The following is a 23,345-nucleotide window of genomic DNA, read 5'->3' on the forward strand; positions in this document are numbered from 1 at the left end:
CCCAGCACTTTGGGAAGCCAAGGCAGGCAGATCACTTGAGAACAGCCTGGCCTGGCCAACGTGGTAAAACCCAGTCCCTACTAAAAATACAGAATTTAGCCAGGTGTACTGGCCGGCCAAAAAAGACTAACAGACCAGATACTGGAATCAGCGTTATGGTGAAAAGAACCCTTTACTAAATTCTTGATGATGTTACAAAATTTTCCAAAAGTGTAATCTATATAGTGTATTTATTTCTCAGAGTATTTAAAGATTTTGAGATTTAGTTTTTAGTAACATATAACATCCTAGGAAACATAAATACTGTACAATAACTTATATACTTTTTTTCTTTTTAGTTTTCTTTTTTCATTTCTTTTTTGCCCCTCGAGATCTCATACTTCGTAGTTTTCCTTCAAATTACAGGGTGCTTTATTTCTCCCCTTTGGTTTAACTTTAATAACAACCATAAACACTTTACTTCTGAATTAATGGTAAACCATGACACAGAAGAGTGCTTAAATACATTTTTTTCTTTTTGTTTTACTATAACTAATCACATCTACAATATCTTGTTATTGCTTGGCATAACATATACCTTTTATAATAATACTCTTCATGGCCGGGCACAGTGGCTCATGCCTGTAATCCCAGTACTTTGGGAGCCCGAGGTTGGTGAATCACTTGAGGTCAGGAGTTCGAGACTAGCCTGGCCAACATGATGAAACCCTGTCTTTACCAAAAAATACAAAAATTAGCCGGGTGTGGTGGCACATGCCTGTAGTCCCAGCTACCCCGGAGGCTGTGGTGGAGAATTGCTTGTACCCGAGAGGTGAAGGTTGTAGTAAGCCAAGATCACGCCACTGCACTCCAGATTGGGCGAAAGAGTGAGACCCTGTCTCGAAACAAAAATAATAATACTCTTTGTAATAACTTGTTTAACCTCAAGAACCTTGTAGCTTAATCAATTGTAGTATTTTAATTTGTTAGTTCATATATTATACATTTGACATGGTTTATAACATTTAAAACACACTTTACTAATTTAAAACTTTTGATTTATCACACAGTTTAATATTAACTTGTAAATATAAAATGGATTCAAACTTTTCTCTTGGAGAATGTTTAAGTATCATCAGTATTCTATTTTTTAGCTTTAAATTGATTCATTTCTTGAAAATTAAAAATCTTAAAGTTTAGAAACATAACACTTCTTGGAAAATTGTTTTGCATCCTTGTGAACAAAAGAAGATCCAGTTAAATCCGATCTCATACTTAGAGGAGACAGACAAACTTTGGAAGCCATGTATTGACTATTAAGGAACTTGTCTTTCTCTTAGAGATGGTACCAATTACTGGTAGTGATATAGGGAGGATAAGACTTGTCTCTAGGATTGCTGTGATTATTGTCTACGTAGAATGGCCTTCACTTCAGAATCAGTTGTGAATGAAAAGTACATTTGTGTGCTAGAAATAGGAAAAAACCTTGTCTTTTATAGAAAACTTTTAAAATGCAGTTATGTTATCAGGTAGATTCAAACGTATAATATACAAGAAAATAAAACAAATGAATAAGTGTTGTTTGCCAGAGAAGAAGCAGTTCTGATCAATAATATGTAGAGTAATTTGTAAGAGTTTGAAGGCTTGCGAAGCGCTTTTAAGCCTGAGAGTAATGTCAACTCATTTTTAAATCTAATCGCATTTTATTTTCTTGATTGTAGGTATCAAGAGCACTCCTCGCATTGAAAAGGGCTGGTTACTGGATGTTCTTATGAGTAGGAGAATCTAGAAGTGTCAGCATGGGTGTTTAACCTATTTGGGCAGTGTTTTTCCTTTTCCTTGTTCTGACTAAAGCATTTATCTCTGAGGTGGGGAAATGGCATTTTCTGTTGAACACAGGTGGCCTTTCTTAGTCCCTTAAAAAGAGGACATGACTGGGCCTGGTGGCTCACGCCTATAATCCTAGCACTTTGGGAGGCCGAGGTGGGCGGATTGTCTGAGCTCAGGAGTTCGAGACCAGCCTGGCAGCACGGTGAAACCCCATCTCTACTAAAATACAGAAAATTAGCTGGGTGTGGCGGCATGTGCCTGTAATCCTAGCTACTCAGGAGGCTGAGACAGGAGAATCGCTTGAACCCAGGAGGTGGAGGTTCAACCCAGCTGAAATCGCGCCACTGCATTCCAGCCTGGGCAAAAGTGAGACTCCGTCTCAAAAAAAACAAAAGTGGGGGTGGGGGAACATAATTAATTCAAAGCACTCCAAATGTTAAGATTATATAGGAGATTTTGTTGAGCTTTGGGAGGCTTTCTGCTTTTATTTACTCTGAGCTACCAACCCACTGAGAAGTAAAGAATTCAGAACAGTCTAATAGTATTTAGTCTGTAACCCTCCAGCCAATTCTTATGTTCACTGAGTGCCTTCTGTGTGCAAAGGCCCCCATTTCATGCCAGTATCTGAACAAAACAGACAAAATCCCAAATCCTTGTCGTTGACGATCTTGCATTCTGTTAACCAGCAACTCACAGTTTACATTACAGCTGAACTCCTTATGTGGCTGGCTTAAAAACTTGAGTGGAAGATTTGGGGTGTGTGTGTTTTGTACACTAAACTTAAAAGCTGTGATTAGAGCTTTACTATTTTTAACAAAAGGAAAGGAAGAGGTTTTCTGTAATTGGATAAAAACTAGACTGAAAAGAGGAAAGAGGAAATATTGTTGTGCCTTAGAGAAAGACATTGGTTTGAGATTTTTTTTTTTTTTTTTTGAGACGGAGTCTCACTCTGTCACCCAGGCTGGAGTGCAGTGGTATGATCTCGGCTCACTGCAACCTCCGCCTCCCAGGTTCAGACAATTCTCCTGCCTCAGTCTCCCGAGTAGCTGGGATCACAGGCATGCACCACCACACCTGGCTAATTTTTGTACTTTTAGTAGAGATGGGGTTTCACTATGTTGGTCATGCTGGTCTGGAACTCCTGACCTCATGATCCACCTGCCTCGGCCTCCCCAAGTGCTGGGATTACAGGCGTGAGTCACCATGCCCTGCCTGGTTTAAGATTAAAAGATGACCCAAAGAGAGAAAAAGAGATCCCTGCATTAGACAGACATGAGGGAAATTTGGGGCCTTCAGGTGTTTCCATTTACTGTACATCCTTGGATAGATGAGTTCCTGGAAAGGAGGATGGGAGTAAAGGTGGAACAATAGGAGAAGGGTGAACAGGATTTTTTAAGTCTGATTTAAATAATTGGGATATACCTATAAAATATATGTTGTCATTTATGTTTAAAAAGCTTTCTGTTCTTACGTGAGTATAGCTGAAGGATTAGTGGTTGACCAATAGTGCCTGGTACTGATTTGTAATGGCTACTTTTGTGCTCTTAGCAAAGATGGCTAATGGAGCCAATTTGTCTCTTGGTTTATTGTGCACAACTTGGTCTATATATTTATCACTGCTTCTCCTTCCATAGCTTTGTTGTATTACTTAACGTCGTGCCTTTGTTTTTTCTGCATGTGAGATGGGCGTATTGCACTTAGATGTGTGAAGCAGGTGCTTAATTTTTGCTTTCTGTTCTTTCTATTGCTTTCCTACTGAACCAGTTTGGTAAAGAGGCCTCTTCTTCAGTTTATACAAACATTGCAAACTTAAGCATAAAAGATCTTTCATCTTTTTGTTCTTATTTTAATGCTTGGTGGTCTTGTGCTTTCATTTATGAGTCAGTTTCATTTGATCTTCATTGCTAAAGTGAATCAAGATTGATTTTTTTAATTTTAAAGCAAATCAACCAACTGGCTGGGGTGCAGTGGTGCAATCTCGGCTCATTGCAGCCGCCACCTCCCAGTTCAAGCGATTCTCCTGCCTCAGCCTCCCAAGTAGCTGGGATTACAGGCCTGCGGCACCACGCCCAGCTAATTTTGTATTTTTCGTAGAGACGGGGTTTCACCATGTTGGCCAAGCTGGTCTCAAACTCCTGACCTCAGGTGATCTGCCCGCCTCAGCCTTCCAAAGTGCTGGGATTACAGGCATGAGCCACCGTGCCCGGCCTAGTTTCATTTTTAATGTATTTTTGTAATTCTGTTACTTTATCAAAATGCTGATATGCAAGAGAACTTGAAATTTTGGAATATATTAAATTTAGTACTGTAATTCAGACCAGATTCATTAAGTTGTTCAACATTTGGCCATCTATCTTAGATTTAAAAATAACCAAAAACAACCTTACTTGAATTTAAAAAAATTATCTCTTGTAACTGGTTTTGTTTATATAATCTAACATTTTATTAAGTCTTTGGTGGTTGCTAGTCCTAAACTTAAGGAAATTGAGTTTGTTTCTATTCATCTGTTCTGGAGTGTTTGGAATTGCAATGTGAAAGTGAAATAACCTTTTTTTTTTTTTTTTTGAGACGGAGTTTTGCTCTTGTTGCCCAGGCTGGAGTGTAGTGGCATGATCTCGGCTCACTGCAGCCTCCGCCTTCAGGTTTTAAGTAATTCTCCTGTCTCAGCCTCGTGAGTAGCTGAGATTACAGGCACGTGCCACCACGCTCAGCTAATTTTTGTATTTTTAGTAGAGACAGGGGTCTCACCATGTTGGCCAGGCTGGTCTCGAACTCCTGACCTCAAGATCTGCCCGCCTCGGCCTCCCAAAGTGCTGGGATTACAGACATGAGCCACCGCGCCCGGCCTACATGTATGTATTTCTAAATAGCATATAGTACTGTTTTAAGAGGTGTATGTACATGACCATATACAGAATTTTTTTTTTTTTTACAATTTGTTCTTGTCACTTAATATTTTTGCAGTTCTTTTTTTGTTCTAGTCCCTTTTTTCCATAGTATTGCATATATATTGCATAGTATTCCATTGTATGATTAGAACAGTTCTTTTTTTTTTTTTTTTTTTAATAAGACAGTCCGGCTCTGTTGCTCAGGCAAGAGTGCAGTGGCTCAATCTTGGCTCACTGCAGCCTTGCCCTCCCAGGCTCCAGTGATCCTCCCACCTCAGCCTCCCAAATACCTGGAACTACAGGCGTGCACCAACACATCTGGCTAATTTTTGTGTTTTTTTTGTAGAGATGAGGTTTCACCATGCTGCCCAGGCTGGCCTCTAATCCCTGAGCTCAAGTGATCCACCTCCTTTGGCCTCCTAAAGTGTTGTGATTACAGGCGTGAGCCACCACAGGCAGCTAGAACACATTTTGTCTAGTCTTTTTTGGAAGGACATTTGGATTATTTTTGTAATTTTAATCAATGGTCTAAAACCATTTACATGCCATATATATATGCGAGAATTTCTCTAGGGAGTAAAATGGCTGAACTGTAGGCCATCCTTATCTTATAGCCCTAACTAGATATTTCCAAAATTCTCTCCAATGTTGCTATACTAATTTATACTCCTACCAGTGGTGTATTTTATATATGTATATATATATATATATATATATTTTTTTTTTTAGACAGAGTTTCGCTCTTGTCACCCAGGCTGGAGTGCAATGATGCAATCTTGGCTCATTGCAACCTCCACTTCCTGGGTTCAAGCGATACTCCTGTTTCAGCCTCCTGAAGTAGCTGGGATTACAGGCACCTGCCACCACACCCAGCTAATTTTTTTGTATTTTTAGTAGAGATGGGGTTTCACCATGTTGGCCAGGGTGGTCTGAACTCCTGACCTCAGGTGATCCTCCCGCCATGGCCTCCCAAAGTGCTGGGATTACAGGCATGAGCCACCATGCCCAGCCAAAAGTTTCTGTTGTTTTAATTTAGTGCTGTCCTATATAAATGTAAGGTAATTTAAATTTTTCTAGTAGCCACATTAATAAAAAAGACATAGGCAAAGTTAATTTTAGTAATGTATTTTATTTAATCCAGTATTTCCAAAATGATTCAATATATAAACAATGAAGTTAATTAGATATTTTGCATTCTTTTAAAAAATATTAAATGGTGTGATTGGGCTGTGTCCCCACCCAAGTCTCATCTTGAATTCCCAGGTGTTCTGAGAGGGACCCCATGGGAGGTAATTGAATCATGGGGACAGGTCTTTCCTGTGCTGTTCTCATGATAATGAGTAAGTCTCATGAGATCTGATGGTTTTATAATGGAGAGCTTCCCTACACAAGCTCTCTCTTTGCCTGCTGCCATCTATGTAAGATGTGACCTGCTTCTCCTTGCCTTCAGCAGTGATCATGAGGCCTCCCTGGCCACATAGAACTGAAAGTCCATTAAACCTCTCTTTCTTTTGTAAATTGCACAGTCTTGGGTATGTCTTTATCTGCAGTGTGAAAAAGTACTAATAAATTAAATATTTAAAATCCATTGTGTATTTTACACTTACAGCAAATCTCTATTAGCATTAGCCTCATTTAACATTCCTACTAGCCCCGAGTGGTTAGTGGCTACTATACCAAACAGCAAAGCTCTGTGTTCTTGTCTGTGTTTGATATTGAGAGTCTCTCTCTCTCTCTTTTTTTTAATCTAAGGAGAGAGAAATGGTGTTTTATTTTGACTTTAATTTTCCATCTTCCTATTAGTTTTCCTAATGACAAAATCTTACAGGCATAAATATGGAATTACTTTGCCGTTGGAATGCAGGTGTTTATTTTGTTAATTGTGTTTAAGAGTTTTTAGATATTAGATATTAGATTTAGATGTTAGTGTGTCTATAAAATGATGGTGCTAATTAAAGACTTTAACCTGGCCGGGCATGGTGGCTCATGCCTGTAATCCCAGCACTTTGGGAGGCCGAGGCGGGTGGATCACCTGAGGTCAGAAGTTCAAGACCAGCCTGGTCAACATGGTGAAACTCCGTCTCTACTAAATATACAAAAATTAGCCAGGTGTGGTGGTGGGTGCCTGTAATCCCAGCTACTCAGGAGGCTGAGGCAGGAGAATCGCTTGAACCCGGGAGGCAGAGGTTGCAGTGAGCCGAGATCCTACCATTGCACCACAGCCTGGGCAACAAGAGCGAAACTTCGTTCCAAAAAAAAAAAAAAAAAAAGACTTTAACCTCAAGTCAACTCTTAAAATATTCCCCAAAATGTGTATTTGGATTGAAATGAATGCTTGGAAGGACAGTACTTGAATGGCAATAATAGGGGTAGGAACAAGGCAATTGCTTAATACTTAAGGGAAACAATCCTTTGTATGTATTTCTTTTCCTTCATATATTTCTCCCTTTGTTTTGCTTAATCTTGATCTTTCTTTCCTCACTTAGGAAGAGTTGGCTGAATGGATCTGATCTAGAGCCAAAGATGTTCTCAAAAAGGGCTACAGGGATAGACTGACTTTGGGAGTTGGGGATACTCTATGCCCATCATCAGGAAACAAACCAAGTAATATAAATTCATTAGTGTGTCGTCTGTCCACAGTAAGTAGGTGTAATTGGCTAGGTGATTTAAATGAATCAGCAGAAATAAAATTGCTGGAAATCAAGGACTGCTTGTACTTAGTAAATGTTGCAGTGGATAATAGAGGTTAATCAGCATTCCAATAGATTTTTAGGTCTCTGCCAATTTAATATTTCTGGGAATGTTGAAAAATTTAACTAGGACATTCTTTCTTGAAGAAGGATCTTTTTAAATTACTTTTGTTTTTTTTTGAGATGGTGTCTCACTCTGTTGTCCAGGCTAGAGTGCAGGAGTGTGATCATATCTCACTGCAGCCTTAAACTTCTGGGCTCAAGCTATCCTTCTGCCTCAGCTTCTCGAGGAGCTAGGACTACAGGCGTGGGGCACCATACCTGGCTAAGAAGTGTCTTTTAAGTTAACACATATTTTATTTAGTACCTACTAGATGCCAAGGTCACGAATTAGGGTGGGAAAGGAGCTAAGAAGAGCAAAAATGTTAAAAGGAATCCAAATGATTTTATAGGAGTGGTGAGATGGTGGTAGGAAGAGTTGGGATGACATCAAGGTGGAAGAAGTGTTTTGTTTTGTTTTGGAGACAGGGACTTGCTCTTTTGCCCAGGCTGGAGTGCAGATCACAGCTCACTGCAGCCTCGATCTCCTAGGTTCAAGCAGTCGTCCTACCCCAGCCTCCCAAGCAGCCGGGACCACGGATGTGTGTCACCATACCTGGCTAATTTTTAAATTGTTTGTATAGACAGAGTCTCAGTATGTTGCCCAAGCTGATTGGTCTCCGACTCCTGTGCTCAAGTGATCTTCCCATTTTGGCCTCCAGAAGTGCTGGGATTACAGGCATGAGGCACCATACCCAGCCTAGGAAATATTATTTCACAGGCACCTTGAAGGATTTGGCTAGCTAAATAAAGTAGAAAAAACTGACTGTGAGGTGGGAATGACCATGATGAAGTTGAGCTGTGTAGAGCCTAGGCATGACAAATTAGAGAAGGTTCTTGATAAGGGTGTAAAAAACCACTGCATCTTTTAGGGACATTTAAGGTGTGTTTTAGGGAAATGAAGCTCATGATAATCTGTAGGTGGATTAGAGGAAGATGGGGTTGAAGTCAGGGAGATCCACTAGGAAGAAGTTAGATAATCAATGCATTATGTGATGATGCTAAAATTAGGATGGTAGGGTGAGAGAGACACTGAAAAACAAGATTGATGGAACATAGTGATTTAATGGTGGTTGAATATATATCAAAAGATTTATGGCTTCTGTCCTGGATTAATACTAGAGGAATGCTGTTACTAATACAAATAGGTGGGTAGGCATATGAAGGTGGCTTGGGTGCAGAGATGAAGTTTTTGATTATGTTATATTTGAAGAGAGATGTAGCATAACCAAGCTTTGTGTTTAAAATCTAGACTAAAATTCATCTGAAGTCAGTGTAGACATAGCTTAAGCCATGAGATTGCATCAGAGGGCAGATACTGTGTTTTGGGTTGAAGGTTAATTATTATCTTGGGACCCCACTTCCCTTTTTCAGAGGGTACAGAAAAAAGAATAAAGAATAAAGAAAAAAGAATAAAGTTTTTTTGATTTGAGAGTGTTTTGAAAGTCAACACAACTGTTAAGAGTTTCCAGAATCGAGGCGTTACCAATAGTTTGAAATGCCACAAAGTACCTTATTTTGAGAAGCTTCTTCTTACGACTGATAGTTGGCTAATTCTACCACACAGGACATCAGTGTTTGAGCTGTTTGGTCAGGAATATTGGTGTTTTGGGTTCTGAAATGGCTGTATGTTATATCGTGAGAAACATTCTCTATGGACGATACTCCAGACATATGGGAAATACTAGTAATTTCTTTTTTTTCTTAATTTTTATTTATTTATTTTTTTGACACAGAGTTTTGCTCTTGTTGCCCAGGCTGGAGTGCAATGACATGATCTTGGCTCATCGCCACCTCCGCCTCCTGGGTTCAAGTGATTCTCCTGCCTCAGCCTCCTGAGTAGCTGGGATTACAGGCATGCACCACCATGCCTGGCTAATTTTTTGTATTTTTAGTAGAGATGGGGTTTCTCCATGTTGGTCAGGCTGGTCTCAAACTCCCCACCTCAGGTGATCCACCTGCCTCGGCCTCCCAAAGTACTGGGATTACAGGAGTGAACCACAGTGCCTGGCCAATACTAGTAATTTATAATTACTTTGTTCTTGATTACCTAATATTTAAGTTTTCTAATTGTGATTTGCTTTTCTTTTTTTACTTTTCTCTTTAGTTTGTTTTGAAATAATAGGTTACAGGTTTCCTCTGTTTAGTAGGCACTTTTTCCTAGTTATGCTTTCTTTGACTCTAGGGGCTTTATTTTTCATACTTTTTTTCTTTCTTATAATTACTTTGTGTAGAATTGGACCGTGATGTTTTCCTGAACTTTTAGGAAGGTAGGGTATGTGTGGATTTTTTTGTAATTTAGATTTTCTTCTTAGCAGTTTTTCTTTAGTGTAGAGCTTCGTCTAACAAGGGAGCATTTATTTCAGAGTTTATGGGATCTAGATTGCTCCAGCACTATCAGATCTTGTTGTATATTGGTCCCTTTGCATGACCCCAGCAGTTGGGTCTTGCAGAATTCCCTTTCAGTTTTAGCTGTTACTAGATTATCCTGTCACACTTTTCAGTGAGTAGCTATTGGTGATGTTGGAGTTTCTCTCATCTCAGGATCTTCAGAAGCCTGTTTTCCTTTTGCTTCCTTTTGCACAAATGCTAATACCACTTGGGTCTTATAACAGTTTGTAGTTTATGGGGGAATAATACCTTTGTTGTTGGATTGCTTTGTCTGGGGGAGGATATTAAAAACCTCTGCTGTGACCACCACTACCATCTTAGACTGTCCCATGTGCATGTTCTTAACTACTGTGTTGTATTACTTGCCAAGTGACATTCGATGAAATCAGACCATTTAGATGAGGAATATCCACATTTTGCCTTGAACATTCTTCCCGTGTGGTTTTGGAAACAAATATCTGCACAGAGTAGGATAAGTAAGACAGAATAATAGGCATTTAACTGGATGGAGAGTCAGTCTCCAGAATCAAGTACAGCTGGATACTGGGATAAGGTTTACATAAGTTGTTAGGTAGGCCTGAATGACCTAAAACCAGAGGAAGCCAAAAGGCCTGCCTCCTCATCACCACCCAGTAAAGCCTAAAGCTTCAGCTTCTTTATTACATAAGTACATTGAAGGGCATACCAGTGAGCCCCAGGAGGAAGGGAGAGAATTAGCCAGAGAGCTTTTTGACCCAACTTTGAGCCTGAGGATGAGATTTGGCTTTGGAATTGGACTGCATGATTTGGTATCTTAGTTTTTTTTTCTTCTTTTTTTCAAGACAGAGTCTCGCTCAGTCGCCCAGGCTGGAGTGCAGTGGCGCGATCTCGGCTCACTGCAAGCTCCGCCTTCCGGGTTCACACCATTCTCCTGCCTCAGCCTCCAGAGTAGCTGGGACTACAGGCATCCGCCACCGTCCCTGGCTAATTTTTTGTGTCTTTATTAGAGATGGGGTTTCACCGTGTTAGCCAGTATGGTCTCGATCTCCTGACCTCGTGATCCGCCCGCCTCGGCCTCCCAAAGTGCTGGGATTACAGGCGTGAGCCACTGTGCCTGGCCTAGTTCTTAGTTTTACCACTTGATAGTTGTGTGTCTTTGGCAAGTTCTTAACCTCATTGTATGTTTCCTTATTTGTAATGTAGTGATTATAATAGTACCTTCCTCATAGGATTATTGTGAGGATTAAATGAGTTCATGCCTGTAAATACGTTGAAACAATTCTTAGCACACAGAAAATGTCTGCTGCTCTAATAGGTATCCAGTGGTTGTTCTTTTTGATAGGACATTGACCTGTTAGCAGCATTTGACGCAGTTTATCACTTCCTCCTCTGTAAGCACATTTTTCTTTGTTGTCAGGGGTACCACACTGTTGGTTTTCCTCCCACAACTCTGGTTGCTGATTCTCAGTAATTTTTACTGCATTTTTTTTCGTCTCTTGACCTTTAAATGTTGGAGTGCTCAAGAACTTAGTTCTTTAGTGTCTTCTCTTTTTAAATTATATTTACTCTGTTCTCAAGGGGTTTAAGTGGAGATTTAATTATCATATAAATGCCCCCGAATTTATGTCTTCATTCTTGATCCCACTCCTGAATGCTTTATTTCTAGATCCACCTTCCTGCAGTATCTCCACTGGACATATAATAGACATCTCTAACTGAACATGTTCAAAACTGACTACTTGATAGATTATGCCTCCCTTCTTCTCCCCTAAGTTGCTGTTGGCACAGACTAAATCAGGGATTCTTAAGCTGGAGCCCACAGACCCACATAGGGATCTATCAGTAAAATTCAGGAGAATCATGTTTTTATTTTCACTAATCTCTAACTGAATTTTAACATTTTCTTCAATTATCAATGTAGTATAGCAATACTTTTTTACTTGTCTTCTTTAGAAGTCAGATATTTCTATATCACTTTATAGTTGTTGCAGGTATCTTAAAATATTATTAAACTCACCACTACTTCAGAATTATGACACTTATTAGACCGGCCACTAGATACTGTTGTGTTAGTGAAGAAGACATGTATTACTATGCCAAGTTTTAAAAAATATTTTGATAATGACTTTAATATTATTGGGTTTTATAGTAATCCTAATTATTGTATACATTTTATGCTTACCTGGCTTCTAAACTGTTTTGCCTGTTTTTACATTTCATTTAAATGGAATCATACATTGTATACTCTTTGATTTCTAGTTTCTTTCAGCATTGTTAATGAGATTCATCTAAGTTCCTGCCTATAGTTGTGTCTTGTAGAATTTGGAAAAGCATGACAAGTGACGTTAAATTAATTCCTCTTGTATGATACCTTGCCCTATGTTGAGAACTGCTACTTTAAAGTTGATTAAGTGGTAATTTTCTGTTTTTGATATAGCCTGAATAAATACTTTTCATAGGTCTGCATGTAGTTTGGTTTTTAGAGCACACTGTATGTATTCAGTGTGATAGATTTTTTTTCTCAGATTAAATTTGCGACTAAAGCAAAATACCACTGTCAACAAAGCTATTTCCATTTTATGAACTATATTTTTCTTGTTGAAAGGCTTGGAGAGGGGTAAGTTACACTGTTGTCCTGAGTTTGAAATTTCTAGCTGAGCTTTTGATTTAGGACAAGAAAATCTAAATTATTCTTGTATCTGGGGTCTCTCACTTATGATTTCAGAGAATCTGATTTACTGAATAAATTTGTTTTCATAATCTTGCTCTAATGTAGAGCTATAGTTTCCAGCTTTTGGAGAATTATTGAAAGTGACTAGCCTATTTTTATCAGTAACATCTCCTTGCCATTGGACCTGGGTGTGGTCAATGCCAATGTTATTCAGCAATTATAATGAAAACTGTAAAATATCTCTTAAACAATTATTCAAGCCCTTTTGAATGTCAGTTATGATTTTGAAAATCTGAAGTGAATGCCACTGATACTACAGTTCATCAGAATTGATTTGGAAGAGGGGAGGACTTAAATAATTTAATTCTGATGATACTAAGAATTGGAAGAAAGGATGTGAGCTACATGTTCTGTTTCTGTGAGTTTACTGATGGGTGGAGTTGTTTTTCTTTTGCTTCTCATTCAAGCAGTATAGGATTTGATGCAGGTGTTTGTGAATGAGTATGTTCTGTAAGGTCCTGGAATGGTGTTATTAGTATGTGACTTTTCAAGCATCTCTTTGAACTTAAGCTGGTTATTAGATTTTATTACTACTATCATTTATTTTAGCAATGTTTTATAATAATGAAAGCCATTAATCTACACATTGTCTAGGAACAGGCTGGAAGTGAAGAGTACTTGGCTATATCATAGAAATATTTCTTGGTAACACTTTGGAGTATATGTGGCATCAGTTAAATTTTGAAGATAGAAGCACATTATTTTAAATATTTCATGTGTACAAGCTTTTTTTCTTTTGAGACAGGGTCTTGCTCTGTCATCGAGGCTGGAACGCAGTCATATCATCTCAGCTCACTGCACCCTCCACCTCCTGGGCTCAAGCAATCCTCCCGCCTCAGCCTCCCAGGTAGCTGGGGCTACAGGCGCACACCACCGTGCCCAGTTAATTTTTGAAGTTTTTTTTTTTATAGAGACAGGGTCTCACTATGTTGCCCAGGCTGGTCTCAAACTGCTGGACTCAGGCAATCCACCCGCCTGAGCCTCCCAAACTGCTGGGATTATTGGCGTGAGCCATTGTGCCTGGCCTGATTTTTAACTAAAAGGTTTATACAACTATTTAATGATTTTTCATTTAGACATTATCATTTGATTTTCTGCTATGGAATGTCAAAGGAATTTTCTGTGGTCTAGTTTTGTTGATGAGAAGTCTCGTGCTATTTGGATTCTTCTTTTTGTGTAGATGACTTTCTAGCTCTACTCTTACCCCCAAAAGCTTAAATAAAATTTAATTGTAGTACAAAAAGCACATAATACAACATAACCATCTTAACCATTTTTAAGTGTACAGTTCCTATCAGGCCATGGTTGCTGCAAAAAAGAAAAATAAGCATACACTGCAGTAGTGTTAAGTATATTCACATTATTGTGCAACAAATCTCCAGAACTTTTTCATCTTGCAAAACTGAAACTCTATGCCCATTAAACAACAGCTTCCCCTTTCCCCTTCTACCTCCAGTCCATGGTAACTATCACTCTGCTTTCTTTTTCTATGAATTTGACTGTTTTAGATACCCCATGTAAGTGGAATCATGTAGTATTTGTCTTTTTGTGACTGACATGTTGTCCATGTTGTAGCATGTGACGGTATTTGCTTCACTTTTTTTAAGGCTGAAGAATAATTCATTCTGTGTATATACTACATTTTGTTTATCCATTCGTTTGTCATTGGACATTTGGGTTGCTTCTACCTCTTGGCTGTTATGCATAATATGGGTACTACGATCATGGGTGTACAAATAGAAATGTCTCTTTGAGATCCCACTGTCATTTTTTTGGATACATACACAGAAGTGGCATTGCTGGATCATATGGTTGTTTTATTTATAATTTTTTGAAGAAGCGCCATACTGCTTCCAAAAGCTTTTAAGTTTCTTTTAATTCTTGGCCATCTGAAAGTCCATAATGATCTGTCTAAACATGGGATCTCTCCCCTACTCTGCCTCTCCGCCAAGCAGTAGGCTTTGAGTCTGAGTATTTGTATCTTCCCTCAGCTCTGAAAAATTATTTTTGTTTTATTGTTTCTTTGATAATTTCATTTCTTCTCAATTTCTGGAATATTTGGTCCAGCATTGCATTTCCTGGATTGAACCTCTGTGATGTTCACCTTTACTTTTTTTTTGAAATGGAGTCTTGCTCTGTCGCCCAGGCTGGAGTGCAGTGGTGCGATCTTGGCTGACTGCAAGCTCCGCCTCCCGGGTTCACGCCATTCTCCTGCCTCATCCTCCCTAGTAGCTGGGACTTACAGGTGCCCGCCACCATGCCCGGCTAACTTTTTGTATTTTTATTAGAGACGGGGTTTCACCATGTTAGCCAGGATGGTCTCAATCTCCTGACCTCGCCATCTGCCCACCTCGGCCTCCCAAGGTGCTAGGATTACAGGCGTGAGACACCGCACCCAGCCTTCACCTTTAAATTTTTTAATTTGATACACAGTCCAGGAGATTGCTTTGGCTTACTTTAACTTTCAAAAACCATCAAGAATTTTTGGGTTTTGTTTGTTTGTTTGTTTTTAAGAAGGGGGATGGATTGAGGCAGTCATGTTTAAATCTGAAAAGCAGTTTTTTTGTACTATGTTCCATTTGTTAACATCCTGTTATTCTATGGAAGCCAGATGAAGTATCTTTTTGAATCTGAGGATTCTGATTTCTGATTTAAAAGAAGAAGTCTTCTTTGATTTAGTTTTTTCCTTCTCTTCTCCCAGTGTTTATCATGGCTTTAGTGCTGCTGAGTTTCTTTCTTTCTTTCTTTTTTTTTTTTTTTTTTTTGAGACAGGGTCTTGCTTTGTTGCTCAGGCTGGAATACAACAGTACGATCATGGCTCACTGCAGCCTCAACCTCCCAGGCTTAAGCAGTCCACCCATCTCAGCCTCCTGAATTGGCTGGGATCACAGGCACGCGCCAGCATGACTGGTTAATTTTTTAATCTTTCGTAGAGTTGGGACTTGCTGTGTTCCCTGGGCTGGTCTTCAACTCCTGGCCTCAAGTGATCCTCCTGCCTCAGCCTTCCAAAGTGCTAGGATTACAGGCATGAGCCACTATGCCCAGTTTGCCTGCCTGCCTGCCTGCTTTCCTTCCTTCCTTCCTTCCTTCTTTCCTTCCTTCCTTCCTTCCTTCTTTCCTTCCTTCCTTCCTTCCCTCCTTCCCTCCCCTTCCCACTCCCCTCCCCCTCCCCCTACCTCCTCCCCCTCCCGCTCTTTTCTTTCTTTTACTGGGATCACATAGCAACAGAGGAAGCAAGATAGAGAGGGGAGGTGCCAATTTGGGTTTTTTGTTGTTGTTGTTTTTCCCCCAAGCACTTCAGCCTTGATCTTCTGGGCTAAGGTAATCTTCCCACTTCAGTCTCCCGGGTAGCTGGGACTACAGGCATGCCGCCACCACACCTGGCTAATCTTTTTGTATTTTTTATGGAGATGAGGTTTCACCATATTGCCCAGGCTGGTCTTGAACTCCTGGGCTCAAGTAGTCCACCTACTTCAGCCTCCCAAAGTGGTGGGATTACAGGTGTGAGCCACCATGCCCAGCCAGCTGCCTTTGTTTCTTCACATGCCTCATTATCCTTAGCTGTTTATACTTATCCTTAAATATGAATAGAGAATTCATCTTAAGTTTCTTGAGAAAAGACAGAACACTTCTGCTTTTTGTCTGTATGAGAGGAGACTGGGGTCGATGGTTCTCTATAACTTAGTTTCACCCTCATTCTTACTTGCAGGCATGATCCTATTTTACTACATCTGTGAACGTACTATGAGTTCTCAAACTGTCTAGGATTCCCTCCGCAGTTCTAACTTGCTAAGCTGCTGGTCCTTCCATTCTTTTTTATTTTTATTTATTTATTGATTTTCGAGAGCCTCTGTTGCCAGGCTGGAGTGCAATGGCGCGATCTCAGCTCACTGCAACCTCTGCCTGCCAGGTTCAAGCAATTCTCCTGCCTCAGCCTCCCAAGTAGCTGGGATTACAGGTGCCTGCCACCACGCCTGGCTAATTTTTTGTATTTTTAGTAGAGATGGGGTTTCGCCATGTTGGCCAGGCTGGTCTCGAACTCCTGACCTCAGTTTATCCACCTGCCTTGGCCTCCCAAAGTGCTGGGATTACAGGCATGAGCCACTGTAGCCTGCCCATTGTTTTTTATTAATCACTGCTTCTATCTGCTTTATGGCTTCCAAAGGCTTTTGATATCTCTACCCATTGATGGCATACCTCTTGCCCCCATTTCCTGCTCTTAATTTTTCATTGCTTCGTGTTTTACACCTTTTTAAAATTTTTCCTTTACTAACATTTTGATGGCATGTTGGGAGGGATTAGAGATAAATGGCTTTGTTCCACCTGTCTTGAACTAGAAACACTTTTATCATGTGGATTATATCGTGTGAATGTGAATGTTTTCATTACAAAAATATTTCACAAAAGATTAAGCTACCATTGGGCATTGTGGACAGATCATTATTTGATACTAGTAGAGTGGACAGATCATTATTTGATACTAGTAGAGAAATTTGAGTTTATTTGATTTTTTTTTTTTTTTTTTTTGAGACCGTCTTGCCCTGTTGCCCAGGCTGGAGTGCAATGGCCCAATCTCAGCTCACTGCAACCTCTGCCCCCAGGTTCAAGCAAGTCTCCTGCCTCAGCCTCTCGAGTAGCTGGGACTATAGGTGCCCGCCACCACATCCAGCTAGTTTTTTTGTGTATTTTTAGTAGAGATGGAGTTTCACCATGTTGGCCAGGCTGGTCTCAAACTCTTGAAGTCACGTGATCTGCCCGTCTCAGCCTCCCAAAGTGTTGGGATTACAGGCGTGAGCCACTGTGCCTGGCCAAGTATATTTGATTTTGAGAAAATATTGAAACTTACTCTCATGTCTTTTTTTCCTGTATCACTTTTTGAAGCTTTTCTCCCCTTTGCTTGTTCTTACTTTTTAAGGCATTTTTTTCCATTTCTTTTGAAAGTAATTTTAAAGAACTCTAAAAAAATTTAGTAGGCAGATACATTTAAATGAGTTGATCTTTTATTTGTAAGCGTTAGACCAGGCGTCTGTTAAAACAGAAGTGACATTTATTTTGGCTAAACAGTTTCTGTTCTACATATGTGTTTACATTGCATTTTCACACTCCATAAATTGAACAGCGCAAGTACCCATATTTTTGTTGACTAAGTTTTACTGTAATATTTATCAAGGAAATGGGTATTTAATGACCATTTAATAATAAAATAAATTGTACAATTATTGTGTTGAAATAAGATTTTACTGAGACATGAACTGTTGTTATATCAGTGTGTGCAGCTTATTTGAATAGTCTTGCAGCATGAACATTTTTGCTTCTTAACATAAGGATCCATGTTCTCATCACTAAGATTTAACAGACATTAACATTTTGCTGTTTGCTTCAAATTGATCTCAGAGGCATGTTAACCAACTTTAAATATTGCCACTTCACTATTTCCCTAGAAGTAAGTACTATCAAGTTGGTCTTAGTAGTTTTAGTGTTTATACAACTCAAGCATGTTTTTAAATACTTTTGCCACATATTCATGTATGTAAACTAATCTGTTGCTTTGTAAATTTTATTTGTTTTTGTTTTTGTTTTTTTGACACGGAGTCTCGTTCTGTTGCCCAGGCTGGAGTGCAGTGGAGTGATCTCGGCTCACTGCAACCTCTGCATCCCAGGTTCAAGCTATTCTCCTGCCTCAGCCTGCCGAACAGCTGAGATTACAGGTGCCCGCCACTATGCCTGGTTAATTTTTTTCTATTTTTAGTAGAGATGGGGTTTCACCATGTTGGCCAGGCTGGTGTCGAACTCCTGACCTTATGATTCGCCTGCCTCAGCCTCCCAAAGTGCTGGGATTACAGGCGTGAGCCACCGCTCCCAGCTTCTGCTTTGTAAGTTTTATAACTTTGCATAATGGCATCACACTGTATGTATCATTTTCCAGCTACTTTGTTTTGATTTACTCATGGTGATACAAGTTAATGTAGTCTATACTTTTAAATTCTGTAGAGATTTACATTGTATCAGCATTATTGTATGCTTCTGCTTGTATATATGTGAAAATTTCTCTGGGTGGATACTCTATAACCAACAATTCTCCAGGAAATTATATGCATTTTTATTCTACCAAATATCACTCTGGAGATTTCTCATGCTGTTTGGGTTCCTAATTCTTTATGTGTGACTTATTTTTTCCCCTTTTTTCCCTCTGGGAAATGTTAGGTTTTATCTTTATCACCAGTGTTTTGAAATTTCAGTTGCTTTTTGTGTCTCTGTATGTGTGTGTGGTTGGTTCTACTTTCAGTCCTGACACTTAGGGTGTTTAGTTCTCTTTCCTTTTCTTGTTCTTTCTCTAATAGCTGTTAGTTTCAGGACTGATCCTGCAGCTTTCTTAGTTTTATTCTTTACTACTTTGAGTCTGTTTGGTTTTTGTGAAGGGGAGGGGTCTGGGGGATTTTACTTTTGATTTTTTTTTTTTCAGTTTGATTTTCTAAACTTTTATTGACAATTTTCTGTCATTTTAATTATTTTTATTTTATGTTATGTTATGTTATGTTATGGTATTGTATTGTATTGTATTGTATTGTATTGTATTGTATTGTATTGAGATGGAGTTTCGCTCTGTCGCCCAGGCTGGAGTGCAGTGGCACGATCTCGGCTCACTGCAACCTCCATCTCCTGGATTCAAGCGATTTTCCTGTCTCAGCCTCCCGAGTAGCTGGGATTACAGCCCACAAACCATGCCCGGCTAATTTTTGTATTTTCAGTAGAGATGGGGTTTCGCCATGTTGGCCAGGGTGGTCTCAAACTCCTGACCTCAGGTGATTTGCCTGCCTCGGCCTCCCAAAGTACTGGGATTACAGGTGTGAGTCACTGTGCCTGGCCTGTCATTTTTATTTTTAAAATGTTTTCTTTAACTTGACATTATAATCTTACATATGTATTAGGTATAAAATGATGTTATAACATATGTATGCAGTGTAAAATGATTGAATCAAGCTAATGAACATATCTATCACCTTACATAATTATTATTTATTTCACCTGTCTAACCACAACTTTCTATCCTTTGACCAACATCTCCCCATTTTGCACCACCCTCCCAGCCTCTGGTAACTACCATTCTACTCTCTGCTTCTATGAGTTTGATTGTTTTAGATGTCACATGCAAGTGAGAATATACAATATTTGTCTTTCTATTCCTGGCTTCTTTTACTTAGCATAATATCCTCCAGGTTCATCCATGTTGTTGTAAATGACAGAATTTCCTTCTTTTTTTAAGGCTGAACAGTATTCCATTGTGTATATATACACCACATTTTCTTTATCCATTCATTCATTGATGGACACTTAGGTTGATTGCATAACTTGGTTTTGGTAAATAATGCCACAGTGAACATGGGAGTGCCGATACTTCTTCCACATACTGAATTCAGTTCCTTAGGGTTATATACCCAGAAGTGGGATTGCTGGATCATATGGTAATTCTGGTTTTAGTTTTTTGAGGAATAGATAGTTGTCCAGAATTACTGTAATAATTTACATAACCACCATCAGTGTACAAAGGTTCACTTTTCTCCATATCCTTACCAATACCTGTTATCTTTTCCTAATAGCCATTCTGACAGGTGTGAGATGATATGTCATTGTGCCTTTAATTTGCATTTCCCTGATGATTAGTGAGGTTGAGCATTTTTTCACATATCTATTGGCCATTTGTATGCCATTTTAATTTCAAAAAGCACTTTTCTTTCCTCTGAATTTTTTTATTTTGAAAAAAATTTTTTTAGAGACATGTTGTCACTCTGTTACCCAGGCTGAAGTACAGTGGCCCATCACTACAGTCTTGAACTCCTGGGCTAAGGCAGTCCTCCCGCTGTAGCTTCCCTAGTAGCTAGGACTACATGTGCTTGCTACTGTACCCAGCTAATTAAAATTTTTTTTCTTTTTTTTTTTTTTTTTTTTGAGAGACAGAGTCTCGCTCCATTGCCCAGGCTGGAGTGCAGTGCTACGATCTCAGCTCACTGTAACCTCTGTCTCTCAGGTTCAAGTGATCCTGCTGCTTCAGCCCCCCAGTAGCTGGGATTACAGGCACGTGCCACCATGCCCGGCTAATTTTTGTAATTTTAGTAGAGATGGGGTTTTACCGTGTTGGCCAGGCTGGTCTCGAACTCCTGACGTAAGGTGATCCACCCGCCTCGGCCTCCCACAGTGCTGGGATTACAGGCGTGAGCCACTGTGCCCAGCATAAAAAATTTTTTTTTATAGAGACAGAGTCTCACTTTGTTGTCCAGGCTGGTCTCGAGCTACTGGCCTCAAGCAATCCTCCTACCTTGAACTCCCAAAGCCCTGGGGTTGCAGGCATGAACTACTGCATCACCCAGCCTGGTTTTGTTTATTTGTTTGTTTGTTTGTTTGTTTTTAATATCTTTTTGGTTCATGAATAGAATACTTTTTTATTTCTCTTAAGGATTTTTTTTTCCCTAGTCCTTGCATGGTTTTTTCCTTCTGATTCCTTTTTCTTTGTTTGATTTATTTTGCTTTTCATGTTGTATGTTTCCTTTCAGTATCTGGTAATCTTTGGATAGCTCCTCATATTTAAGTGTAACCCTGACAGCCTTGACAGGGATGTCATTTGATAGGCCTCGCTGTGGGATGATTGTGGAGACCAAGCATTTTATGGAGTATTCCTGTGTGTAAGTAATCTGTGGGTACTTTCTCTGGGACTAGTGAATTTCCTCAGAGAGCAATAGAGCTGTTGCCTGCTTGTGGTTTCCTTGATTTCTGGGAGTTGGTAAAGAAGGCTGAGCAGGCCGGGCGTGTTGGCTCATGCCTGTAATCCCAGCACTTTGGGAGGCCGAGGCGGGCGGATCACGATGTCAGGAGATCGAGACCTTCCTAGCTAACACGGTGAAACCCCGTCTCTACTAAAAATAGAAAAAATTAGCCAGGCGTGGTGGCGGGCGCCTGTAGTCCCAGCTACTTGGGAGGCTGAGGCAGGAGAATGGTGTGAACCTGGGAGGCGGAGCTTGCAGTGAGCCGAGATCGCGCTACTGCACTCCAGCCTGGGCGACAGAGGAAGACTCCATCTCAAAAAAAAGAAGAAGGCTGAGCAGGCTGAGCATATCAGCATTCATTATGCAAATTTATAGTTTATATCACTGGTTTTCTGTAAGGCTTCTTGCTCTGGTCCTCAGCTAAATCTGCTGTCTCTAAACCCAGAGTCTCTATAGTTCACTCTTTGCAAGATAGACCTCCAGTCTTTTGCTTTTTTTTTTTTTTTTTTGAGACGGAATCTTACTCTGTCACCCAGGCTGGAGTGCGGTGGCGCAATCACTGCAGCCTCCACCTCTCAGGTTCAAGTGATCTTCCTGCTTCAGCCTCCTAAGTAGCTGGGATGACAGGCGCTTGCCACCACACCAGGGCTAATTTTTGTATTTTTAGTAGAGACAGGGTTTCACCATATTGGCCAGGCTGATCTCAAACTCCTGACCTCAGGTGATCTGCCCGTCTCGGCCTCCCAAAGTGCTGGGATTACAGGCGTGAGCCACCCCACCTGGCCTTTTCTTTCTTTCTTTTTTTTTTTTTCAAGAGACAGGGACTCACTGTGTCGCTCAGGCTAGAGTATAGTGGCATGATCATAGTTCACTACAGCCTCAATCTCTTGGGCTCAAGTGATCCTCCTGCCTCAGCCTCCCAAGTAGCTGGTGCTGCAGGCATACGCCACCATGCTAGGCTAATATTTTTCCCCAATTTTTTTTGGTAGAGATAGGGTCTTGCTATGTTGCCCAGGCGGTCTTGAACTCCTGGCCTCCAGTGATCCTCCCAGCTAGGCGTCCCAAAGTGCTTGGATTCCAGGCATGAGCCACCATGCCCAGCCCAGACATGTATTAAAACTACCAAACAGGCCAGGTGTGGTGGCTCACACCTGTAATTCCAGCACTTTTGATGTGGGAGGATTGCTGGACGCCAGGAGTTCAAGGCTGCAGTGGGCTATGATTGTACCACTGCACTCCAACATGGGTGACAGAGCAAGATCCTGTCTCTAAAAATAAAAAATACATGTCTGCAACCTATTTAGTAATCTTCTCCTTTGAGTGGTGGGGTCTACGTTCCTTTGTCTTCAATCTGAACAAGACTTAGTGACTTTCTTGTAACCAATAATGCAGCAGAAGTGACTTCTGAGGGTGGGTCAGAAAATACCATGTAGCTCTGCCTGGGAAACCAGGTGACATGTAAGAAGCCTGACCGTGTTGAAATCCTCAAACTGGAGAGGCCACATACAGAAGATACTCCTTGGGACAGTCTCAGCTAAATTCCTAGCCAGCATCCCTCATCAGCTGCCTATCATGTTAAGTGAGCTTTCAGGTGACCTTCTCCCCAGCCAGTATTTGTATGCAGTAATATGAGAAAACCCAAGTGAGAACTGTCCACTTGAACCCTTACAATTAATGAGCCAATACTGATACATTGTTAACTAAAGCCCATAAAGCCCATTCTTTATTTGCATTTTCTTAGTTTTAACCTAATGTCCTTTTTCTATCCAAGATCCCATTAAGGATGTACCACGTTACATTTAGTCATCATGTCTCCTTAGGCCCCTGTTGGCTGTGGCAGTTTCTCAGGCTTTCCTTGTTTTTTATCGCCTTGAAAATTTTGAGGAGTACTGGTCAGATATTTTGTAGGATATCCTTCTATTGGAGTTTCTCTAATGCTTTTCTTATGATTAGACTGGGGTTATTATGGATTTTGTTTTGGAGGAAGACCACTGAGGTA

The 23,345-nt window shown here is 40.2% G+C and overlaps 1 protein-coding gene across 8 annotated transcripts in view, besides 3 other annotated features; it reads left to right on the forward strand.

The window, feature by feature from the left end:
* Positions 1 to 23,345, forward strand: part of PPM1B (protein phosphatase, Mg2+/Mn2+ dependent 1B) — a 78,054-nt gene that overhangs the window by 4,187 nt on the left and 50,522 nt on the right. The window contains exon 1 of one of the 8 annotated variants that reach the window (XM_047444835.1): positions 20,511 to 21,265. The exons of 6 other annotated variants lie outside the window; for them this stretch is intronic. The gene's annotated coding sequence lies outside the window, so the exon portion shown is untranslated. Of the gene's footprint in view, positions 1 to 20,510; positions 21,266 to 23,345 lie in introns of those variants that run through there. One more of the 8 variants, XM_047444836.1, reaches the window with a different exon arrangement.
* Positions 10,229 to 10,523: a silencer, noted in NCBI's record as "tiled region #13633; HepG2 Repressive non-DNase unmatched - State 15:Elon". NCBI's record gives its function as "represses a minimal TATA promoter and a strong SV40 promoter by Sharpr-MPRA in HepG2 cells {active_cell/tissue: HepG2}" and the evidence as "EXISTENCE:reporter gene assay evidence [ECO:0000049][PMID:27701403]".
* Positions 11,242 to 11,341: an enhancer, noted in NCBI's record as "active region_15684". NCBI's record gives its function as "activates an Ori minimal core promoter by ATAC-STARR-seq in GM12878 lymphoblastoid cells {active_cell/tissue: GM12878}" and the evidence as "EXISTENCE:reporter gene assay evidence [ECO:0000049][PMID:35858748]".
* Positions 15,261 to 16,153: an enhancer, noted in NCBI's record as "NANOG-H3K27ac-H3K4me1 hESC enhancer chr2:44415461-44416353 (GRCh37/hg19 assembly coordinates)". NCBI's record gives its function as "activates a minimal SCP1, AML or CMV promoter by ChIP-STARR-seq in primed H9 embryonic stem cells {active_cell/tissue: H9 hESC(primed)}" and the evidence as "EXISTENCE:reporter gene assay evidence [ECO:0000049][PMID:30033119]".

Source organism: Homo sapiens, chromosome 2 (genome assembly GCF_000001405.40).
Source record: "Homo sapiens chromosome 2, GRCh38.p14 Primary Assembly".
NCBI lineage: Eukaryota > Metazoa > Chordata > Mammalia > Primates > Hominidae > Homo > Homo sapiens.